Consider the following 19,340-nt stretch of genomic DNA (forward strand, 5'->3'; position numbering starts at 1 on the left):
CCCTGTATGCTCTGGACAGCTCCCCAGTCAGCAAGCAGACAGACATGGATTCCCAAGGAAGGTAACAGGAAATGGTGTCACCAGGGGATTGGGCTGATAGCGGGTCTTGTCCCATCCCCTGCAAATCCCCTCCATTCCACCATGAAAAATACTCAACACTCACCTTGCCAAGCAAGTGGCAAAAGCTGATTCAGGGACATGAGGTCCCCAGACCGGAAGGAGCCCGTTGCACTTGGTGTTGGCATTCTGCAGGGCGGCACTCTCCCACTCTTCCCGGCCTCGAGCCAACCTGGATAGGGAGGAGAGCAGGGACAAGCGACTGCTGGCATTAACGTGGCAACCAGGCACCTGGGCGGGGGGGCGGGGGTGGGGGTGGGGGCATGCCAACACTAAGAAGTCAGTCGGCCCAGGCTCCTGACCCTGCGAAGAGAATTTGCTATTTGTAGCCTCAATGTGGTACACACTGGCTTTGCTGACTCAGGTAGGCAGGGCTGTTCTCACTAGCCTTGGGCCCAGGCCAAAGCATATTTTCCTATCATTCAAATAACTGCTTGGGGACCTATATGGTGTCAGGCAGAACACCCTACTCTCCAGAGACTAAGGAGCAGATTTAAAACCACGAGGATGGCAGTCCCACCCGCTCCAGGCCCACAGGCAGGCCTACTGAAGGAGCCATTCCGCAAGAGCCAGGGCCTACCTGACGGCAGCCAGATGGCAGTCGTAGTGCACAATGTTGAAGTGGGACACGGTGCTGTAGCCCTGCTGTTTCCGGGGCTTATTCTCCATCTCCTCCAAGGCTACCCGCTTCGTGAAGGTATAAATGCCCAGGACCTTTGTGGGCTGCAAAGACGACAACATAAGGAGAGGGGAGGAGAAACTCCAAGTCAGGCTCAGGAGAAGCAGAATAGAGGGGAACTGCCGCCCTTCTTGGGCAATGCCTTGGGTTTCAGGTTGCTCTCACTAGGGAAGTTCAGAAGAGCAGGTAAGGCCAGCCCCTCAGTCTGTTGGTGAAGCACTTGGCTGGCCGCAGCCCTAGTGAAACAAGGATTATGGGAGCAACCAGCAAGAAGGGGATGCGGTGCAGATGCAGAGGCATACACATAAGCAAGCCTCGGCCATCTTTCTTTACTTTGTGCTTCATCTGTCTGAAAATGCAGAAGTGACTTCTTGATATTCCCTTGCTTTTCAAAACCTGCTGGGCAGCTCTGAAGAGCCTGCATTACGCAGGACTAACGAGCCCTGTGGCCCAGGCACCTGCCCTTTCACAGCCTGTATTCTAAGCAGTAAGTTCCAGCTGGAAAGAAGAGGCCACCTTTGAGCCTTCAGGAGAGCCAGCAGGTCACTGGCTGCTCTGCTCCTTTCAGGTGGAATCTAGTTTGGATAAGCCTAGAAAGTTCTGATTTTCTCCCCAGTTACCCTGAATGGAGGCAGCATGGTATGTTTTTAAAAGCCCAGGTCTGGAGTCTGAGAAGCCTAGGCTGGAATTCTGGCTCTGCCATGTGACCTTTGTTTGCTTAACCACAAGTTGAGACTTTTTACAGGTTTAAATAAAATTATCCAGTTTACACAAAGCTCTGAGCATGAGGCCTCACATATAGGAAGAATCCAATGAGCAGCATTTGTCATGATGATGATAAAGATAACAAAGTCTAAAGTTCGGATGAGCTCGCCTTCCTGCCTCTAAAGAGGACAGCTGGTCCTTTTGTTAATCTCCTAAGATGCAGGCCTTGATCTTGCCTAGCTAAGAACAAAATGGCCTGGAGGAGGGGGATGCTACCTAGAACAAGGGGTCAGGCTGGGCCCTCAGGACCGACCGTAGGCCCAGCAGCTGTACCTGGAACTTGTATCCCTCCCTGCAGATGCAGCACGTGAGGCCAGGCTCCTCGATCAGCTCTTCCATCTGCTTCAGGAGTGCTGTCTTGGTCACGACCTGGCCCTTTTCATTTGTCTGTAGGGGAACCCCGGTGGCATGTCAAGGGGATTTCCACACACCCTCTCCCACCCTAGCTTGGAGATGCTCAGGAACAGGGCTAACCTTCTACCTCCACTAAAAGGACAGGTGCATGAGAGGAAAGCCCTTGAGCTGTCTTCTAATAAGGATAAAGACCCAGGCCCTTCTGCTATTCTCTCTTCCTACAGGAACCACTGAAGCAAAGGAAGTCATCCAGCTGGAGCCCTGGCAAGGTGCCACCTGCCATCAGAAAAGCCCCCTTTCTTCATGCCAGCATCTTCGTGCCAGCAATGCCAAGTCTCAGCTTCCAAGGGTTGTTGCACTATGATTCATTCACTGTTCCCAGGTGAGCTTTTCAACTGCTGACACTCAAGTCTGTGCTTTGGAAAAGGAGCTTGTAGGACTCTGCTTCCTCCAAGGTGGGACAGTTAGAAGAGCACAGAACCCTTTGTGTCAACCACTTATTAGTTATGTGCCTTGGCCTATTTACTTCACCTCTCAGTTTCAGTTACTTCATCTGGAAAATGGGTATAACAATATCAACCTCCTAGAACTACTTGAGGGCTTAAATAAGTCCTCAATAAACTTAATGGCTATTATCACTGGTTTACTGTTTTGGTAAACTTCGTAAGTCACTTACTCCGAGTCTCATCTGTATGATAGAACGATAGTAGTTCCACCTCTGAGAGGGCCGAACACACCTAGTTCCTTCCTCCTACTCTGTCCAGCCTTCTCTTTCCCCATGGCCAACCCCAGGGCTGTCCCATGGCCACCTCCTCATCAACAGTGTGGGCAGAAATATGGGGACTCTAGGTGGTAGCTTTACCGTCATGCCCAGGGTGCCCAGGGCCTTCTGCCTCATTGCCATGGCCATGCGCTTCTTCTCTGCCCGGGTCTCCCTGCGGGCTGCGTCAATCTTCTTGTTTACGTCAGGGTGTTCCCGCAGGGCTTCCAGCAGGTTCTCTGCCAAGGTCCCAATGCCCTCATCACTGGACACCTGCTCCAGCTTATGCAGGTTCGGGATGGAATCAGTTCCAATCAGAACCTGCCAGTAAGAGACCAGAGAGACACATGCCTCCAATTATGTAGACAAACCTTCTTCCCGGGAGCTTAAAGGTTTAGAAACTCAACCAGCATGCACCATCTCATGTCACCTGCTCAGCTGCAATCAGGTCCTTTGATTCCACACTTTGACAGACACAGACAAATGGAAGAGGGTTTGGCTCTGCCACTGCCTCTGACCAATTCCTATGCTCTAAGCTCAGTATTTCCATCTATAAAATGGGGATAGTGCAAGGGCTGCTGTGATGACTAAAAACTAGATAACATATGCAAAGCATCCATCACAGAGGATGTGGAAAGGGGCCAGGAGAAGATCCCCGTATTCTGGTAAGACAAGCAGCAACACCTGATGTGTACTGAGTGGTGAACCAGCAGCCAGAGCAGGCACTGGACGTTCTCCTAAGGACCTGCCCTGAGTTCTCCACGGGAGCCCCTGGGTCCACCAAACCTAGGAGCACAGTTTTCTCAGGCTAGGGATACTAGAGGTGCAATGACTACAAGCAGGTATGGACATGAAAAACTTTAACAACAAAAAAGATATTAACAAGAAACCTCTGTGCCTGAAAAAGCTGGAAGTCACTACGTATAGCGCTATGTGATAAACGGGGGTGGAGAACATCAGAAGGCTAAAGACAGGTGTAGTTGGAAAAAGCACTCCAGGTGAGCTCACTGAGAAATATTACCACATCCCTGAAATCCTCACCAACCTGTCACAAGTGACTTGACAGCAATGATTACATATGAGACAACAGGCTGAAAATAACACAGCCAGCAGATCACTCAGTAGCTCATAAATCTGTTCTCACAGCAAGTCCACTTCCAATCTGTGTCTCAGCGAAATTACCTATTCCCTCATGTCTCATGCTCCTAAATGCTGAGCCCATATTTCAACTCCTACTGAGCTTTTCCACAGGTACCCCAAACTCAACATTCTGGCTGTTTACTGTGTGTGCATGCTTGCACATGTGTGTTTTCGGTGCTGGGAAAACAAAGACCTTGCTCTCATTTAACTTACATTCTAGTTATTAATAGGACAGACCATACATTCATAGCATAGTCTAATGAACTCTCCTCCACCTTACTCGCAAACCTCTGATCTTCTCCATCTCAGTGGCACCACCATTCACCTCATCACTCATTCCAGAAACTGAGCAGGTTCTTGATTCATTCAGCTTCTTAGCTTCTCACGTTCGGTCACTCTCCAAATCCCATTTATTCTTCCTCCCAGCTCAATCTCTGTTGAATCTATCCATGAACTAGTTTAAGCTGCCATTTCTCTCACTTCAATTACGATAAAAGCCTGTCAACTGTTCTTCCTACCTCCAATCTCACCTCCCTTCAATTCACTCTCTGTAATATGGCCAGGGCACTGCCCTCAGGAGAAAACCCACACTCCTCTTCTGGGAGAAAGAACATGCCTTTCCCCTGCTTGGATCTCCATCGGCAGCTCTTGCCATGCCTCGCCTCCGACTGCAGCTGCTTTCAATTCTTGGAAGGCTTTAAGCTCTCTTTGGCCTCTGAACCTTTGCAGGTGCCATGCCCTCTACTTAACAATCCTATTTCCTGAGGCCCCTTCCACACTGCATCTATCTCGCTGTTTAGTTACTACTCTGTATTTGGCTCTATCTTCCACCAGACAGTAAGCTCCCAACAGGCACAGGCGACAGCTGTCTCCTCAGTCTAACACAGGACCAGCTACACAACAAGATGTGTTGCAAGAAAAATGAATGGCCATAGCATAAATGCCAAGTATCTAACTAGATAAAGCCTTATTCTAAAGAAAGTAATTCAATTTGGTAACTAAGAATAAATCTGGATGGCCAGACACAATGGCTCACGTCTGTAATCCCAGCACTTTGGGAGGCTGAGGGGAGCGGATCACCTGAGGTCAGGAGTTGGAGACCAGCCTGGCCAACATGGTGAAACCCCGAGTCTACTAAAAATACAAAAAATTGGCCAGGTGTGGTGGCAGGTGCCTTTAGTTCCAGCTACTCGGGAGGCTGAGACAGGAGAATCGCTTGAACCCGGGAGGCAGAGGTTGCAGTGAGCCGAGACCATGCCACTGCACTCCAGCCTGGGTGACAAGAGCAAAACTTCATCTCAAAAAAAAAAAAAAGAATAAGCCTGGAAATCAGCTGACTTTGAGTTCCAAACTCATTGTGTTGCCTTTGGCCAAATCACAACCGTGTTCCTTGATTTATCCATATACAAAAGAGAGATGTTACAAGGATATGGAAAACAATACATGTGAAATTCCTATGCAGGAAAAAGTATCTCCACAAATATATACAATTATGACTCCACTGAGTTGAACAGAAGTTTAGAAAAGGGATTTCAGTGAGACACAGTGAAGAATCTTTACTGTACTCAAGTTACCATGTTTTTGGAATGAGTTACCGAAACAGATTACCAAATGAGACAGTGGAACTATTTTCAATGCAGAACACTACAAACAGAAAAAACGCAATGCTGAGGACTCTCAAAACTCAACATTAAAAAACAAACAATCCAGTTAGAAATTGGGCAAAAGACATGAACAGACATTTCACTGAAGATACACAGGGCACATGAAAAGACGTTCAACATCATGAACCACTAGGAAAACGCAGAACCACACGGAATCACTGCACATCTTCCAAACAGTTCAAACTAAAAATAGTCACCAAATGCTGGCTAAGACGCAGAGAAACTGGAGCAGCCATACATTTCCGGTGAAATGTAAAATGTAAAATGCTGTAGCTACTCTAGAGAACAGTTTGGCAGCTTCTTATAAACAAAATATGCAACTACTATACAACGCAGCAACTGCACTCTTGGGCATTTATCCCAGAAAAATGAAAACTTATATTCACACAAAAACCTGCACACAAGTGTTCATGGCAGCTTTATAAATAACAGCCAAAAACTGGCAACAATCCAGGTGTCCTTTAATGGGTGAACAGTTAAACAAACCTGGATGAAACTCCAGAAAATCATGCTGAGAAAAAAAAAAAAGACAATCCCAAAAGGTTACATTCTGTACAACTGCATTTATACAACATTCTTGAAATGCCAAAGTTACAGAAATGGAGAACACATCGGTGGGTGCCAGGGGCTTGTGGCAGGGGAGCAGGGGAAGATAGATGTGGCTACAAAAGGCCAACAAGAGGGACCCTTGTGCTGATGAACCTGCCCTGCGTCCTGATGGCACTGATGTCTATATCCTGGTTGTGGTGTGTGCTCGGGTTCCACATGATGTTACCACTGGGGGAGAGTGGGGAAAGGACCCACATGATTTCTCTGTATTGTTTCTTAACAACTGCATGTGAATTTATAATAATCTCCAAATTAAAACTTTGATTTAAAAAAAAAACCCAGCCCTGGCCATCTATCCAGGGCCAGTTAGGATTGGATTTGTGAGGGGTTAACGCTCAGCCCTGTGGGGAGAAATCAGGAATGAGCTGCGGAGTGGAATGGGTGGGACTCCCTAAGAACAAGGGGTTCAGCTGCTTGAGGCAGAGAAGATAGAGGTGATGGTAATATAAGTGTCCTAGTGACTGTGGCCAGACACCCAAGTGTTTTACTCTCTGGTCAGCCAATCCCTCACAGTTCAACAGTTGCACAGGTGACCCATTAGACAATGAAGCCCCACTTAAGAATGAGTTGAATGAGGAAATCACAAATACAACTTACTTCTCTCAGCACACATAGATGAAGTAGATGACTTCTGAGGCTCACTTCTACTCTAGAAGTCTCATATATTAGGGTAAGTCATGTCTCAAGGTAAACTAGGGTAGTTATACTTGTACCCCTGTACCCTCACACTACCTGTCCTGGCTACCCACCTGGGTGCCAGGGTGCTGGATGGCCAGGCCCCGAAGCAGCCTTAGGATAAATGGCAAGGCTGGGCGAGACAAAAACTTTTTCCAGATGTCGGCATCCAAACTGCAAAGCAAAGGAAGGCTTATTAGCAGGCCAGGGAAGCAAAGGCTACCTAGAAACCAGTTGTTGACTCTGGCTTGTTTAAACCCCCAGGGCATGATTAACCGTGACCCTCTCCGAGTGTCATAAAGAATCACATAGAACCACCCAGCTCAGCTGAAAAGCCAGAAAGAAGTGAGTACTCTAAGTAGAAACCAAAAAGTTGCCATCCTTTTCCGGCAAGCCCCGAGGACTCTGCAGTGGTTGAATGGTCACCCACATAGTTTCCAGAAGCGGTTGGGAGGCCCCAAGGAGGGCAAGGGGCACACGTGAAGCTTTATGCCAAGATGCTGATGGAGAAGGAAAAGGAAAGGGCAAAGCGAAGGCAAAGCAGCCCCGCTGCGGGAGGGCTTCATACTTCTTGGCGCTAGGGATGTGCTTTTTCATGTAGTCAAGTGCATTCTGGGTGATCCCCTTCTGGAGAATCAGATCCTTCAGCTGGTGCCCATTGCTGTTGTTCTTGATGCCAGCAGCTATTTTACAGAAGCAGTCCAGGAAGACTTTATCATCACCACTGTGATCTTCATCATATCTAGGAGGAAAGAGCAGAGTTTGAGGGTGTGAAAGGCGGGACAAAACCCAGTCATGTCACCCTCTTGGTTAACAACTGTCAACAGCCTATAGAAGATCAAGGCTAAATTCCCTAACGTGACACAAAGACCTATCTGCCCCGGCTCCTGCCACTCTCCCTGTTTACCTGCTATGTCTCCCACGCTCACAGCCTTCTCTTGCACTCACATTTGCGCACACGTGGCTCCATCTCGTCATATTCCTCCCATCTCACCAACCACTTTGCCTTCTCTGACTAGCCAATTGCTACTCTAATACAGTATATTTTAACTATTCACTTCCCAACTAGACTGAGCTCCTTAAAAGCCAGAACGAGGACACAAAAATCTAATAGGTATTCAGAGGATTCTTCCTCATCTCACAGACCTAGTTCGGCGTTTTAGTGGAGACTCTCATTTCACTATATGAAATCAAAGTAACATACTTATCAAAGTTGCAGTATGGTTTGAATCGCTCCACCAAGATCTGCATTTTCTCCACCTCTCCAAAGGAAAGGTACGGGATGATGCGAAGCAGGCCCTGGAGCACACTGGGGTTGGAGCGAACAAAGGTGCTGTTGATCTGGTCCAAGAGCATCACCAGTTGATCCTTGTCACCTGTCAGGAGGAGGTTGCCCTGCAACAGAAAAGAGGGTGAACATGCCATTAATGCAGTCAGGACTGTGGCTGCAGCCAACATCTGAGCCCCAAAAGTCACCACTTCCATCAGAGTCATCAGGAATACCCCTAGAAGAACTATGTCTCGGCACTTCTTGGGGAATAACAAACAGTCGGAGTTTCACTTGAGAAATTCGTTTCTAAATTTCTGTGACAGTGCTGTTAATTGTCTCAGGTGGTCAAAATATACCAATACAATCTTCCCTCCCTGTAAAAGAATGCAGGCTGCTGGACATTCACTTGGTCATAGCTCTAGCCAAATCATTAGCACCAATAAGAATGGAGGAAATTACAGGCATAGCAGGTGGAGAGAAATTCTGGGAGTTGGAGATCTGGGTTCTAGGCCTGATTCCACCAGTAACCAACTATGTACCACAGCTGAGGAAATGCCAAGTCCAGGGAAATGAAGTGGGCTATTCAATTCCTCAACTATGAAATGAAAGGTTGGACTAAAGCCTCTGTCTATCAACTGAGACATGCCAGGATTCCATTAACGAGCAGCTTTTGAGTGAAAGACTATCCTTAGCAATTGTGCTTGCTCTGAATCCAAAGATTTCACATTTCGATACAATTATGTCATCATTAGTTGAGTCCTAACATTCCAATGCTTAAGCAGGCTCCGCCATTCTCAGGTGGGCTAAGCCAGACACAAACAGGCCTGTTGTGGGCAATGAGACAGTGCAGGCTCTCAGTGCCTGCAGATGGAGGGGCCGAGCCCCACTCACCTTGTCCTCACTCAGGGGCTCAGCATTGGACTCATCTAGAATGATCTCCATGATGCTAAGCACCTGCTCAGCCACAGCTGCACCCCCACTGTCCTTGCTTTCTTGTTCAGCTACAAGGGCCTGTAGGAGAAGGAGACTCAGTCACTCTCAGAATAAGACCACAGCCACTAACTGCTGAGGACAATTGCTCTCAAGGATGCCCTCACAGCCTTACTCCCCAGAGACCATGTGTGTATGACCGTGTGTATGTATGTGCGTGTATATGCATGTTCTGAGAGGGAGACAAGCGTGTGAGCTTTTGATGACAGGCAGCTTTGCTGCCCCAAGGAGAGGGGCACTTCTTTCCCACTGGTGTGTAGTCTAGACTGTTTAAGGGACTGCCTTCCTCTTATCTCTGATCTGAACTCAGGAAAGGAGCAAGGAAGCTCTTGAGTGCCATGGCAGCAGCATGGGGGCAGGAGGTGAGCCAGCCAGAGGAGAAGGGCAGCTGAATGACCCAAGCCTCTGCACCAGTCAGCCAGAGAGATGAAGGGCTTGAAGAAGCCGTGAGTCCATTTCATCTGAGCCCAGAACTGAGAGGTCTTTCACACCCAGACTTCCAAGGCCCACTCTTCTTCACCTGCAGTCCATGCTCCTTACCAGGTTTAGGGTCCCCAGCATGACGTTCAAGGTGTTCATTTCCAGTTTGACCAGTTGCTGCCGGTTGACTTTCACCTTCACGCAGTAACTGAACAATTTCAGTAGCACCTGACAAGAAAAGCCAGTCAAAACCCATGAGGCCACATGAGAGTGTAGGACATGGGGGCCAGTAGGAAAGGGATGTCTAAGCAGGGTCTACACCATCAGCAGGGGCTCCTCCTGAAATGAAGAGGACAGGAGGGAGAAGCGGCTCTTCAGGGGACATGGTGAGATGGCTGGGCTCTCACATTAGGCTGGTAGCTCCAATGGCGGGATATATCTCTACCATCTCTAATACAACGGCAATGACAGCAGTTCCTAATGGAAGAGGTGATGCTCTGTTTGTTGTCTTGGGGGAAATCCCAGCATCAACTCAGACCCTAAACTAATAGTAAAGAAAATGATCCCAAAGCTCGTGGCCTGTGAGAGCTCAGAACCACATAGGTCATTTAAAACAAAGGCACAATAATAACAATAATACATATTCTCATAAACCCTGGGGGAGTGGGGGTGGGGAGTAGTGAAAATAACAGTGTAGTATTTGTGGTGCCTCTCTGGAATGCTCTAATCCTCACTAAGGAGATTAGTTGGATGAATACCCAAACAAAACCCTACAATGCAAGAAATGAGTTACATTACAAAATCCATTTTAAAAACAACAACAATGATAATAGTTAACACAAGTGCAGCTATTTGGGGAAAGACAGTCAGATGCTGGCTCTATAGAGAGGTATTGGAGAAGGGAAGTGGGCCAGCAGGACGGGAAAAGGTGTGCCTAAGAATGTAGTCCTAACTGCCAGGTCCTTCACTGGCTCGCACTGCTCCACGGCACCATGCTGCCCTCTAGGGTAAAATGACACAGTGGCCATAGCTTCTTTCCACAGGGGCCTCTCCCAGTGCAGAAAGGCTGGCCCCCACAACTTGCTGCCCCCAACTCACTGTTAGAAGGTGGCGTCCCTGCTTGAAATCTCTGATCCCTGCGAGTCTGTTAAGCATGCATTCCAGGCCCCCACACTGGGCCATCACACCAGCCATTTTATACACTTCTTCTTCATCTTCTTCTTCATCTAGGGGAGAAGGGAAGCCAAGCAGAAATGGAGGGTAAGGTGAAGATGGGAATAAAATAGGCCAGGATAAGACAGCCCTATTCCTGGCTGATGGCTGACAGCCCTTTTCCGTATCTCCAATAAAGACACGGCCAATAAAAGGGGTCAATGATGGATGATATTAAACTGTCCCACTCTCAGTAGGAGCTTTTTTAAAGTTTCAAGTCAATTAAAATTACTTACTCAAATGTCAAAGTATGAGCACCAATACCATCAATGGAGTGGGGGGAGAGGGAGTTAAAAATAAATCTGAACTCCAGTTTACTGTTCATTGCATTTTCCTCTAAAAGTTTGCTGGTATTCTTTTTTTTTTTTTTGAACACTCAGTGGTATCTGCATCATGCCACAGACACCTCTTTTTTTCCTCAATTGAAGAAACAATCTCCCCACAATTCTGATGCAGAGGTACAAGAGAGAAGCAACTGAGAATGCCCCTAAGTCCTGGGACGTGAGCCGCTCATGAGTCCCAAGCCTCAGATCCAATGTGCAGTGCCATGATCTACCTGTAGTAGAGTCCAGGGACTCAATGAACTCCTCTGTGGCATCGCCCAGCAGCCCCCGCATACGATAAACAATCCTCATGGGCTCTCCCTGAGCAGAGAAAGTTGGAGAAAGGTACTTAAAAACAGGCCCAGACAAATGCAAAGGACTCCATACTTGGTCTTGCTTAAAGCCCCAGCAATGTGGAGAGCCTCTATTTTTCTACAAAGTCTCAACCACAACATCTAGAATCCAAATGCACAGCAATTCACTTAGGGGAAAGAATGCTAATTTTATTTTGTGTCTACTAGAAGCTAGACATTGTATGAAACATTTTAAAGACACTATCTCCTTCAATTTCATTAGAACACTATGTAATAATCTAACAAATATTTATTGAATGTTTTACTCTGTGCCAGGTCCTATGCTAATTAAGTACTTTCTATGATCCTTTTACATAAGGTTACACAGCTTGTTCAAGGTTACCAAGCTATAAGCGGAGGTCTAATTCCAAGCCTGGACCTTCCTCAGGAGTAGAAACTGTCTCCAATCAATAGGGACTACTACCCAGGACAAACAAGGCCATTTAAATCAAAGAGCTTTGACTCAAGCCTCGGGAATCAAAACAGGAAAAGAGAGTACATCAATCTTTACCTACAGAGATTCAGACGTCTTTATATAACCATACAAGGAGGGGGTTCATCCACAATTCTTTAAGCTAAACCCACAATCTGACTAGAATGATAAGAATCAAGTCTTTTATAAATGACAAAATTACAGCAACTTCACTAAATTGGAGAATAAGGAAAGTTCCCTGTATGTCTGGCACTGAGCACATATATTAATATTATTCTCATTTTGCAGACTAGAAATTGGAGCTCAAAGTAACCACTGATGAAATCCAGTGGGGGATTTGGTAGCACGCTAATTCAAGCAGCCTGCCTCCAAGTCTATGCTGAGCTTCAGGACAGGACACCCTGGAGGAAGACAACCTGCCAGAAAGGCCAGTTGCAGAAGTGTTTCCGGCTATAGAAGCCCAGTGAGAATTCCTCAGAGAGAACCACCACAGACACTGAACACAGAGCAGGTTCTAGTTCTAGTCAGTAGCTACAGAGGTAGGCTGCTTATCAGGGAAATGGAGGGCAAGGTAGAGAAGGGAAGCTGAAGTCCCAGAACATAGGCTATCACAAACTCAGAACTTTGCCAGAAAACCTTCTAACTGGATTAAGCACATCAATGTGAGGGGCAAATGATTCTCAACTTCTATCTTGCTTCACCATTCAAGGGAGATACCCTGGTGCATTCTGTGGGTTCACTACCACCATTTACCAGAGTGCCCACAGAAGCTTGGTCTTAATTTTTTATATGCATCAGGGATTAAATCTGTATTGTTCTGTTTTGATGCTACAATGTCTGTAACAAGAGGTACTGGCTGGGACAGTTCTCTGCCTGTCCCTCAGCCAACAGTGCAACAACGACCCCACTGGCAGTAGACCAACAGTCAACAGTAAGCAGGATTCCCAGCCCAGTGGGAGAAAAGAAAGGAGAGAGGCGGAAATATGTAACAAATTGAAGATCAAAATCTACAAATAGTATACTGCCAATTTAGTTTCTCAAACTCTACAGAAGTATTTGGGACCAAGTCTAGAAAAGTTTGCTGTGCATCCCTGCTACACTAGTTTGCTGTAATTAAGTTACTTATCTGATTCATGTGCTAAAGACCTCTCCTCCCAATAGAAACAAGAGAAGGGAAGAAATGGCAGGGGGAGAGAGAAATGGAGGGGAAGAAAAAGAAACAGGAAGAGAGGAATGGAAGGAACAGAGAGTAAGAAAGGAGGGAAAGGTGAAGGGGACCATCTAATACTTCCATAAGTGGACAAACAGCATCACTCGTGGTGGCCAAAAGGCCCAGAGCGCTGGACTTCCTTCATTTCCCTTTTCCCCTCCTCAAGAATAACTGCCTGTTTGAGCCTCCATTCCCCAACTAGTAAAACAGAAATGATGCTCCTTGACACAGCTACTGGAAAAATGTTCTACTAAGCGAGCAGGCCCATAAAAGCTGAGAACTAATCTCAGCTGAGAGGTGTCCATACTGAAGGGAACAAGACAGCAAGCATTCCCAGCACAGAGCCTCCTTCGACACCCCCTGGCTTTCAGTTCTTGGGGTTTGACAACTTGCACAGCCCAGCAAAATGCTTTTGCTTTCCTGAAGCTTCATGAAGGTCATTAAATGTCCCTCCATTAGTCAGATGCCTCCAAAGGAAAACAAGATTGGTTTTCTCCACACAACCCCAAACAGGGACAGTAAAGCCTTAGAGAGCTGCTACAAGCCAGGTAAGTGATGATGAACAATGGCTCCTGCTGGTACAAGTCTGCATAAGTCAGAAAAGTGAAACCACACCTCCAAACGAGAAAGCAGGCACATACCTCATTCGTGGTACACCAGACTTTCTTGTAAACTTCAGCCACAGGAAGGTCCAAACTAATGATTTTATTGTTCACTAGAAGCTGAACAGAAAAGCAGGTGAAGCTGTTGTTCCAAATAATTGTAAGACAAGTAAAATCCAAGAGCAAAGGGCACCTTACGGCAATGGTTGATAATTCACAATTTTTATATGTCATGGACCTATCAACTCTCCCACTCTTAAAAAATCCGCACGTATGAAAAACACACAGAATTTTGTGCACAATTTCAGGGGCTGCTAACGTCCCTAACCCACACACAGGCTCCAGCTTAGACACACCCACCGGGGACCTTCTCCTGCAGGCTCAGCACCAGAAAAGGCTTTTCACTATGTAAAAATGTCAGACCCTCAACGGTCTGCCAGAAAGTAACTGACACGGGGACATAAACCTGCACAGGGGGTAAAACGCCAATATTTAGGGGGCTCAGGTAACTCAGACTCACCGAGAAGTCTCTGCCAGAGGCAATAACGATAATAAATACCCACCACCACTACAACCAACAGCCATTAACAATATGCTTACTTCCTGCCAGGCACTGGGCAGAGCCCTTTACAGGTTATTAACCTTAGCACTAGGTGAGGTAGAAAGGTGGGAATCATTAACCCCAACTTACAGAGTGGAGAAACTGAAGGCCACCTGCCCCAAGTTAATCAGCTACTAGGAAGAAGCACCTGGATTTGGTTAGCCTAGGAGGAAGCCCCTAATCGTAAACGTGGGCAGCACTGTCCTATGGTCATTACCTCCATGCCACTGTCATCTTCCAGGAGGGCCACTAAGTCACAGTCCTGGCAAATCTTGTTCTTTATATCCCTCATCAGCGGCCCGATGCCTGGCTCATTGCTGCTATACGGGTTCCCAGGCATCCTGCCCTGTAAGAAGTCTTCTTGTTGGGGATCCTTCTCCAGGGTCACAAAGAACTCAGTGACTTCATTCTCCTCCTGGAGGACAGACAGAAGGGTGCATCAGAAGGGATGGCAGAGGTGGAGATTTATACCATGCTACCTTGTTCCATGGACACTCGAGGAAAACACACCAAACTCAGCAAGCCCCCCAAACATTTAAAGATACAAAGGACAGGAAACTCAGAGGTACTTCCAAAAATCTAAACAAACTCAAGTAGACTAAAATATCAAGCATCTACCCTGAAACCCCAGGGTGGATTAGGAGATAAAGCCTAACAAAACAAGCAGACAAGGAGTGACATATGAGAGATATATTAAAAAATCGGGGAAGGGGTGCGAGGAGGGACTTTCCTTCCTCCTCCTGCTGGTCTCATGTGATGCTAACCAATTTGGGGCCAGAGGACTTTGTCACTGATGACCCTGAAGTCAAGAAAAGGGCTTCTCTATGGGACATGACACTCAGGTACACACCCCCAATGAGCTCTCATTGCTAGCTCATGATACTAGTGTTCATCTTTCCTCAATAGCAGGAAGGGTTCTCTGGATGATACTGTGCTTCTACACAGTTCAGGCTAGGGAAAAAAACACACGCTGCATGTGTGCACAAAATACAGGGCAGCTAAAGAAGGAAGAGAGTAAAAATATCTTTATATTCAAGCTCAATACCGCTTCTTCCACAGTATGTTGGATTGATATGCAATGGGATTTTGGTAATGGAGGTTAGACCTAGTTTTTAAAAAAACATGATTCTTTACTTGAATCTAGGAAATAAGACCAAGGAAGGTCATTAAATGTCCCATCGTTAGCAAGAGGAAAATTATGAGGTTGCTTCACTTTTATGGCGGTGGATCTTCTTTCACTAATGACTAAGTGGCCCACAGCTGGTACAATTCCCCATAACTTTAATGAATCACCAAGAGGCTTCATGGCAAAGTGGGCTGTGCTGACACTCGAGAGCCATGGGAAGCACCGCACTGCTTACAGGATAAATGATGCTGCAGAGCCTCTCGAAGATGAACACCGGGGTCCGGTAGTCATCCAGATTGTAGCGCTTGGCTGTCTCAATGCACACAGCCATGAAGGCCTTGGTTTCTGATTCTGTACCTGCCAGAAATCAAAGCGGCCAAGTTAGGAAAGAGCCTCTCCCATGGAAGGTGAAATGAGAATTCTAACTGAAGTACCATCACTGACAAATTATTTCTGCCTGGTAAGTCTTTAAATGCCCTACATGGCAATATCAATAGTTCAAATTGGAAATTTGATGCTGATTGATTTTATCCTCAGACCACATTCAGTTTGAAACCCATAACACCCAAGTCCACACACTTCATCATGGTTGGCTGTGTACATGTCTTGCTCTCTCTCAGGATATAACCTCCTCAAGGAGAGGGACTGTGCCTTATTTAACTAGCATCTCCTTGCCCAAAACAGGCACTCAGAAAATGTCAAATAATCCTGTGTTCCAGTCAAATCAAAAGGAAGTTACAGTTAGTTTTTAGCTTCATTCTAAAAGATTAGGTAGACTGTCCTCTATAAGCGAAAAAACACAACTTAAAGTAACATGAAGGTGAGAAAATATGGTCTTTAAAAAATAAGGTCTTGTGAGCACTTTGAGCTCAAAAGCTGGAGACCAGGCTAGGCAATGTGGCGAAATGCCATCTCTACAAAAAATACAAAATTAGCTGGGCGTGGTGGCACACGCCTATAGTCCCAGCTACTCAGGAGGCTGAGGTGGGAGGATGGTTTGAGCCCAGAAGGCGGAGGTTACAGTGAGCCTCGATCACACCACTGTACCCCAGCCTGGGTGACAGAGTGAAACTTCGGGAAAAAAAAAAAGTCCCACTGTTGCATTACTGGGTGGGTCTGAATTAAAATTAAAAAAAAAGGTAAAGGTCCCTGACGAAGTCACAAACCAGCTCAGTATGGCACGATGAAAATGGCATCAGAAAGAGTTCCATTTTGGGCAATAAGGCAAACGAGGTTCCCTGACCTACTCCTCACTCTCCACCACTCAAAAACAATTTAAAGTGTTGAATAAAAATCCATCAGTGAACTGCCACACTAACACAGAACAGCCAAAAGCCATAAACTAAGAGAAATCGGGAAGCCAGGGAGATAAGCAAAACACGAGTCAGTTTTTGCGTTGAGCTTTGGTTTCCATGCCCTGCCCAGATTTGAGAGGTGGATAAAGCCCCGAATCCACTGAGGCAAAGAGTCTAGCAGGAACCCCCAACCCCATGCCCCACAAATACAAATCTAGTACCCCAAAGAGCTACACCCTTGGTGCAGAGATCAGCTATCCCTTTCCCCCAACCAAATAACTGAGGAAATTGACTTTCCTTAAACTTTACCATCAAGTGGCAGGGAAAAATCTCCTCTGAAAACTTGTAATGAGCTGTCCCCTTATAGGGGTTTGCGGCTCAAACCTCTCACTACCTAGGAGGTCTGAAAATCCTGAGGCTCAGAACTGGGACAGCAGTACCCTGCACTGCCTCACAGAAGCAGTTCTTTACCTCCTCTGGAGAAACCCATCTTTGGCCCAGTCCTAAAGAATTTCCACAGATAAAGCTAAAAAATATGAGGTCACAGTCAAAACTCATAAAACACAACAAGACTTTAAGGTATCATCAGCAAGAGCCAAAATAACAAACTGCAGAATCAGGCATGTAAATATCTCAAATTTTAGAATTATCAGACACAAATGTTTAATATGCTTATAGATCATATAAAGGAGGGAAATGTGAATTTTTAAAAAGAGACCTCACACCTGTAATCCCAGCACTTTGGGAGGCCGAGGCAGGCGGATCATCTGGGGTCGGGAGTTCGAGACCAGCCTGACCAAAATGGAGAAATCCCGTCTCTACTAAAAATACAAAATTAGCTGGGCGTGGTGGTGCATGCCTGTAATCCCAGCTACTCAGTAAGGCTGAGGCAGGCGAATCGCTTGAATCCTGGAGGCAGAGGTTGCGGTGAGCCAAGATCGCGTCACTGCACTCCAGCCTGGGCAACAAGAGTGAAACTTGGTCTCAAAAAATGAAAAATAAAAAAGAGACCATAAAATCTAGAACCACAAGAATTCAACAGGTAGATTAAACATTTGCACACAGTGAAGAAAAACTGAATTGAACAAATTGTCAAAAATGCAGCATAAATACACAATGAGATGAACATTATGAGAGATGGAGAGATATGGATGACAGAGTGAAAATGGAGTTTCACAAGGAAAAGAAAGAGAATACAGCAGAGGGGATTAAAGAGACAATGGCTGAGAATTTTCCAGACTGATAGAAGACACCAATGAGAGAGCCTTTGACCTTGCACCACTCTATAAGCTCAACATGAAAAATCCAAAGTGACTGAGCCCAGCTCTAGAATTTAAAATTCCAAGAGCCAACACTTTGTCAAGAAATGAGTCTCCCTTTGAATGCAGGGAGATGTTTGCCACCCCTCCTCTGGATCTGTGGAACTGGGGGAAATTGGTCGAATGCACCTCGGCAGCCCCAGAAGGGACAGTGCCTTAGGCTCCAGGCCACTGGGCAGTGCTACCTGTGGTCATGTCCTCCAGCATCTCCAGCAGCATGTCCTGCGTCTCATCGATCAGCTTGGTCCTCTGCACCACCAGCTTCCGCAAGCACAGGTATCCATTCAGCACAGTACCCACCAAGCGACTTTTAAAATGTCTTTTGATGGATTCCACCTCAACAAAGGAGGAGAGAAGGCCTGTGGAGACAGGAAAATGTTGCTGTGAGAGCTCTGGATGAAAACATAAGGACAGTCTGTGTCTCAAAAGATTATGAGCAACTCAAAAAGCAGGGAAAATCTATCTTTGTGCATGGCACAGAGCAGGTGTTCAACAAGCGGAAACAGTCAATAGCAAACAGGGTCTCAAAATCATAAACGTATCAATACAGAAAAAAAATGCAGAGCTTAAATCTGCACTAAGGTCAGTACCAGAGAGAAGAGAGTCAACCCCAGCACCCAAGGAACTAAGGGTTGTCCCTAAACAGATTCAGGATGCCCTAAAGGAAGGTCCAGGTGGCTCTTTACCTGTGAGACTTTTAAGGGCATAACCCTGCTGCAGATCGGTACTCAGGGTAGCCTCCTCCAGGGCCAGCAGACGAGCTATTTCCTAAACAGGATGACAAGTGCAGTCAGTGTGATATCACTGCCAAGGATACCAGTTACCTCCACCACTGTCCCAGGAGCTTGCAGCACCAGACACTCTGTAGTTACATCTTCTTAATCGAACCCTTGCAGAACTCCTTTCCAGGAAGCCAACAGTCACAGCGCTGGTAAGGGATTGCTTAAAAACTGTAAACAGTCCAAATGCTCCCAAGAGTTTGCTACAGCTACATAATAAATACAATGAAGTCATAAAAATATTTCCAAACACCTTCAACAAATATTTCTTCTCAGCAAAAACAAACAAACAAAACACCATAGTAGAGTTTACATCAAGGTACAAGGGGGAATTAGGGAAGGGGCTCTCTTGGGCAATAGGGTAGGATACCTTGGTGATGAGGTTGCCCACATAGGGTAGGACTCCCCGAGCTGCCAAGTAGACTTTCCAGTGCGCAGAAGTGATGAGCTTCTGGTAGAGAGCCAGGTACTCAGCTGCACACTCCCCAGCTATGCTCAGCTCATCCAGGTAACTGCCACCAAGAGGGACAGGGCACTCTAGTCAAGAACTCTAGCATTTCGAACAGCTCCAAGGCTCCCCTTTCTCCTCCCAATCTTTCCTATCTTCTGCTGTCTGTCTCTCCTGCTTCCTAGAGGGTGGAGGA

The 19,340-nt window shown here is 46.4% G+C and overlaps 1 protein-coding gene across 50 annotated transcripts in view, besides 1 other annotated feature; it reads right to left on the bottom strand.

Moving 5' to 3' along the window:
* Positions 1 to 19,340, bottom strand: part of UBR4 (ubiquitin protein ligase E3 component n-recognin 4) — a 135,757-nt gene that overhangs the window by 11,472 nt on the left and 104,945 nt on the right. For all 50 annotated transcript variants that reach the window (XM_047416518.1, XM_047416514.1, XM_047416523.1 and 47 more), the window contains 17 exons: positions 19,067 to 19,208; positions 18,604 to 18,685; positions 18,103 to 18,276; positions 15,539 to 15,660; positions 14,395 to 14,592; positions 13,616 to 13,696; positions 11,212 to 11,299; positions 10,542 to 10,669; positions 9,564 to 9,671; positions 8,925 to 9,044; positions 7,968 to 8,158; positions 7,332 to 7,505; positions 6,838 to 6,937; positions 2,778 to 2,996; positions 1,835 to 1,948; positions 698 to 840; positions 164 to 289 (listed from right to left, as the gene is read on the bottom strand). In XM_047416518.1, coding sequence (XP_047272474.1) covers positions 164 to 289; positions 698 to 840; positions 1,835 to 1,948; positions 2,778 to 2,996; positions 6,838 to 6,937; positions 7,332 to 7,505; positions 7,968 to 8,158; positions 8,925 to 9,044; positions 9,564 to 9,671; positions 10,542 to 10,669; positions 11,212 to 11,299; positions 13,616 to 13,696; positions 14,395 to 14,592; positions 15,539 to 15,660; positions 18,103 to 18,276; positions 18,604 to 18,685; positions 19,067 to 19,208 — 2,310 coding nt within the window. The remainder of the gene's footprint in view (positions 1 to 163; positions 290 to 697; positions 841 to 1,834; positions 1,949 to 2,777; positions 2,997 to 6,837; positions 6,938 to 7,331; positions 7,506 to 7,967; positions 8,159 to 8,924; positions 9,045 to 9,563; positions 9,672 to 10,541; positions 10,670 to 11,211; positions 11,300 to 13,615; positions 13,697 to 14,394; positions 14,593 to 15,538; positions 15,661 to 18,102; positions 18,277 to 18,603; positions 18,686 to 19,066; positions 19,209 to 19,340) is intronic.
* Positions 1,690 to 2,059: an enhancer, noted in NCBI's record as "active region_295". NCBI's record gives its function as "activates an Ori minimal core promoter by ATAC-STARR-seq in GM12878 lymphoblastoid cells {active_cell/tissue: GM12878}" and the evidence as "EXISTENCE:reporter gene assay evidence [ECO:0000049][PMID:35858748]".

The sequence above is a fragment of the Homo sapiens genome, chromosome 1 (assembly GCF_000001405.40).
Source record: "Homo sapiens chromosome 1, GRCh38.p14 Primary Assembly".
Lineage (NCBI taxonomy): Eukaryota > Metazoa > Chordata > Mammalia > Primates > Hominidae > Homo > Homo sapiens.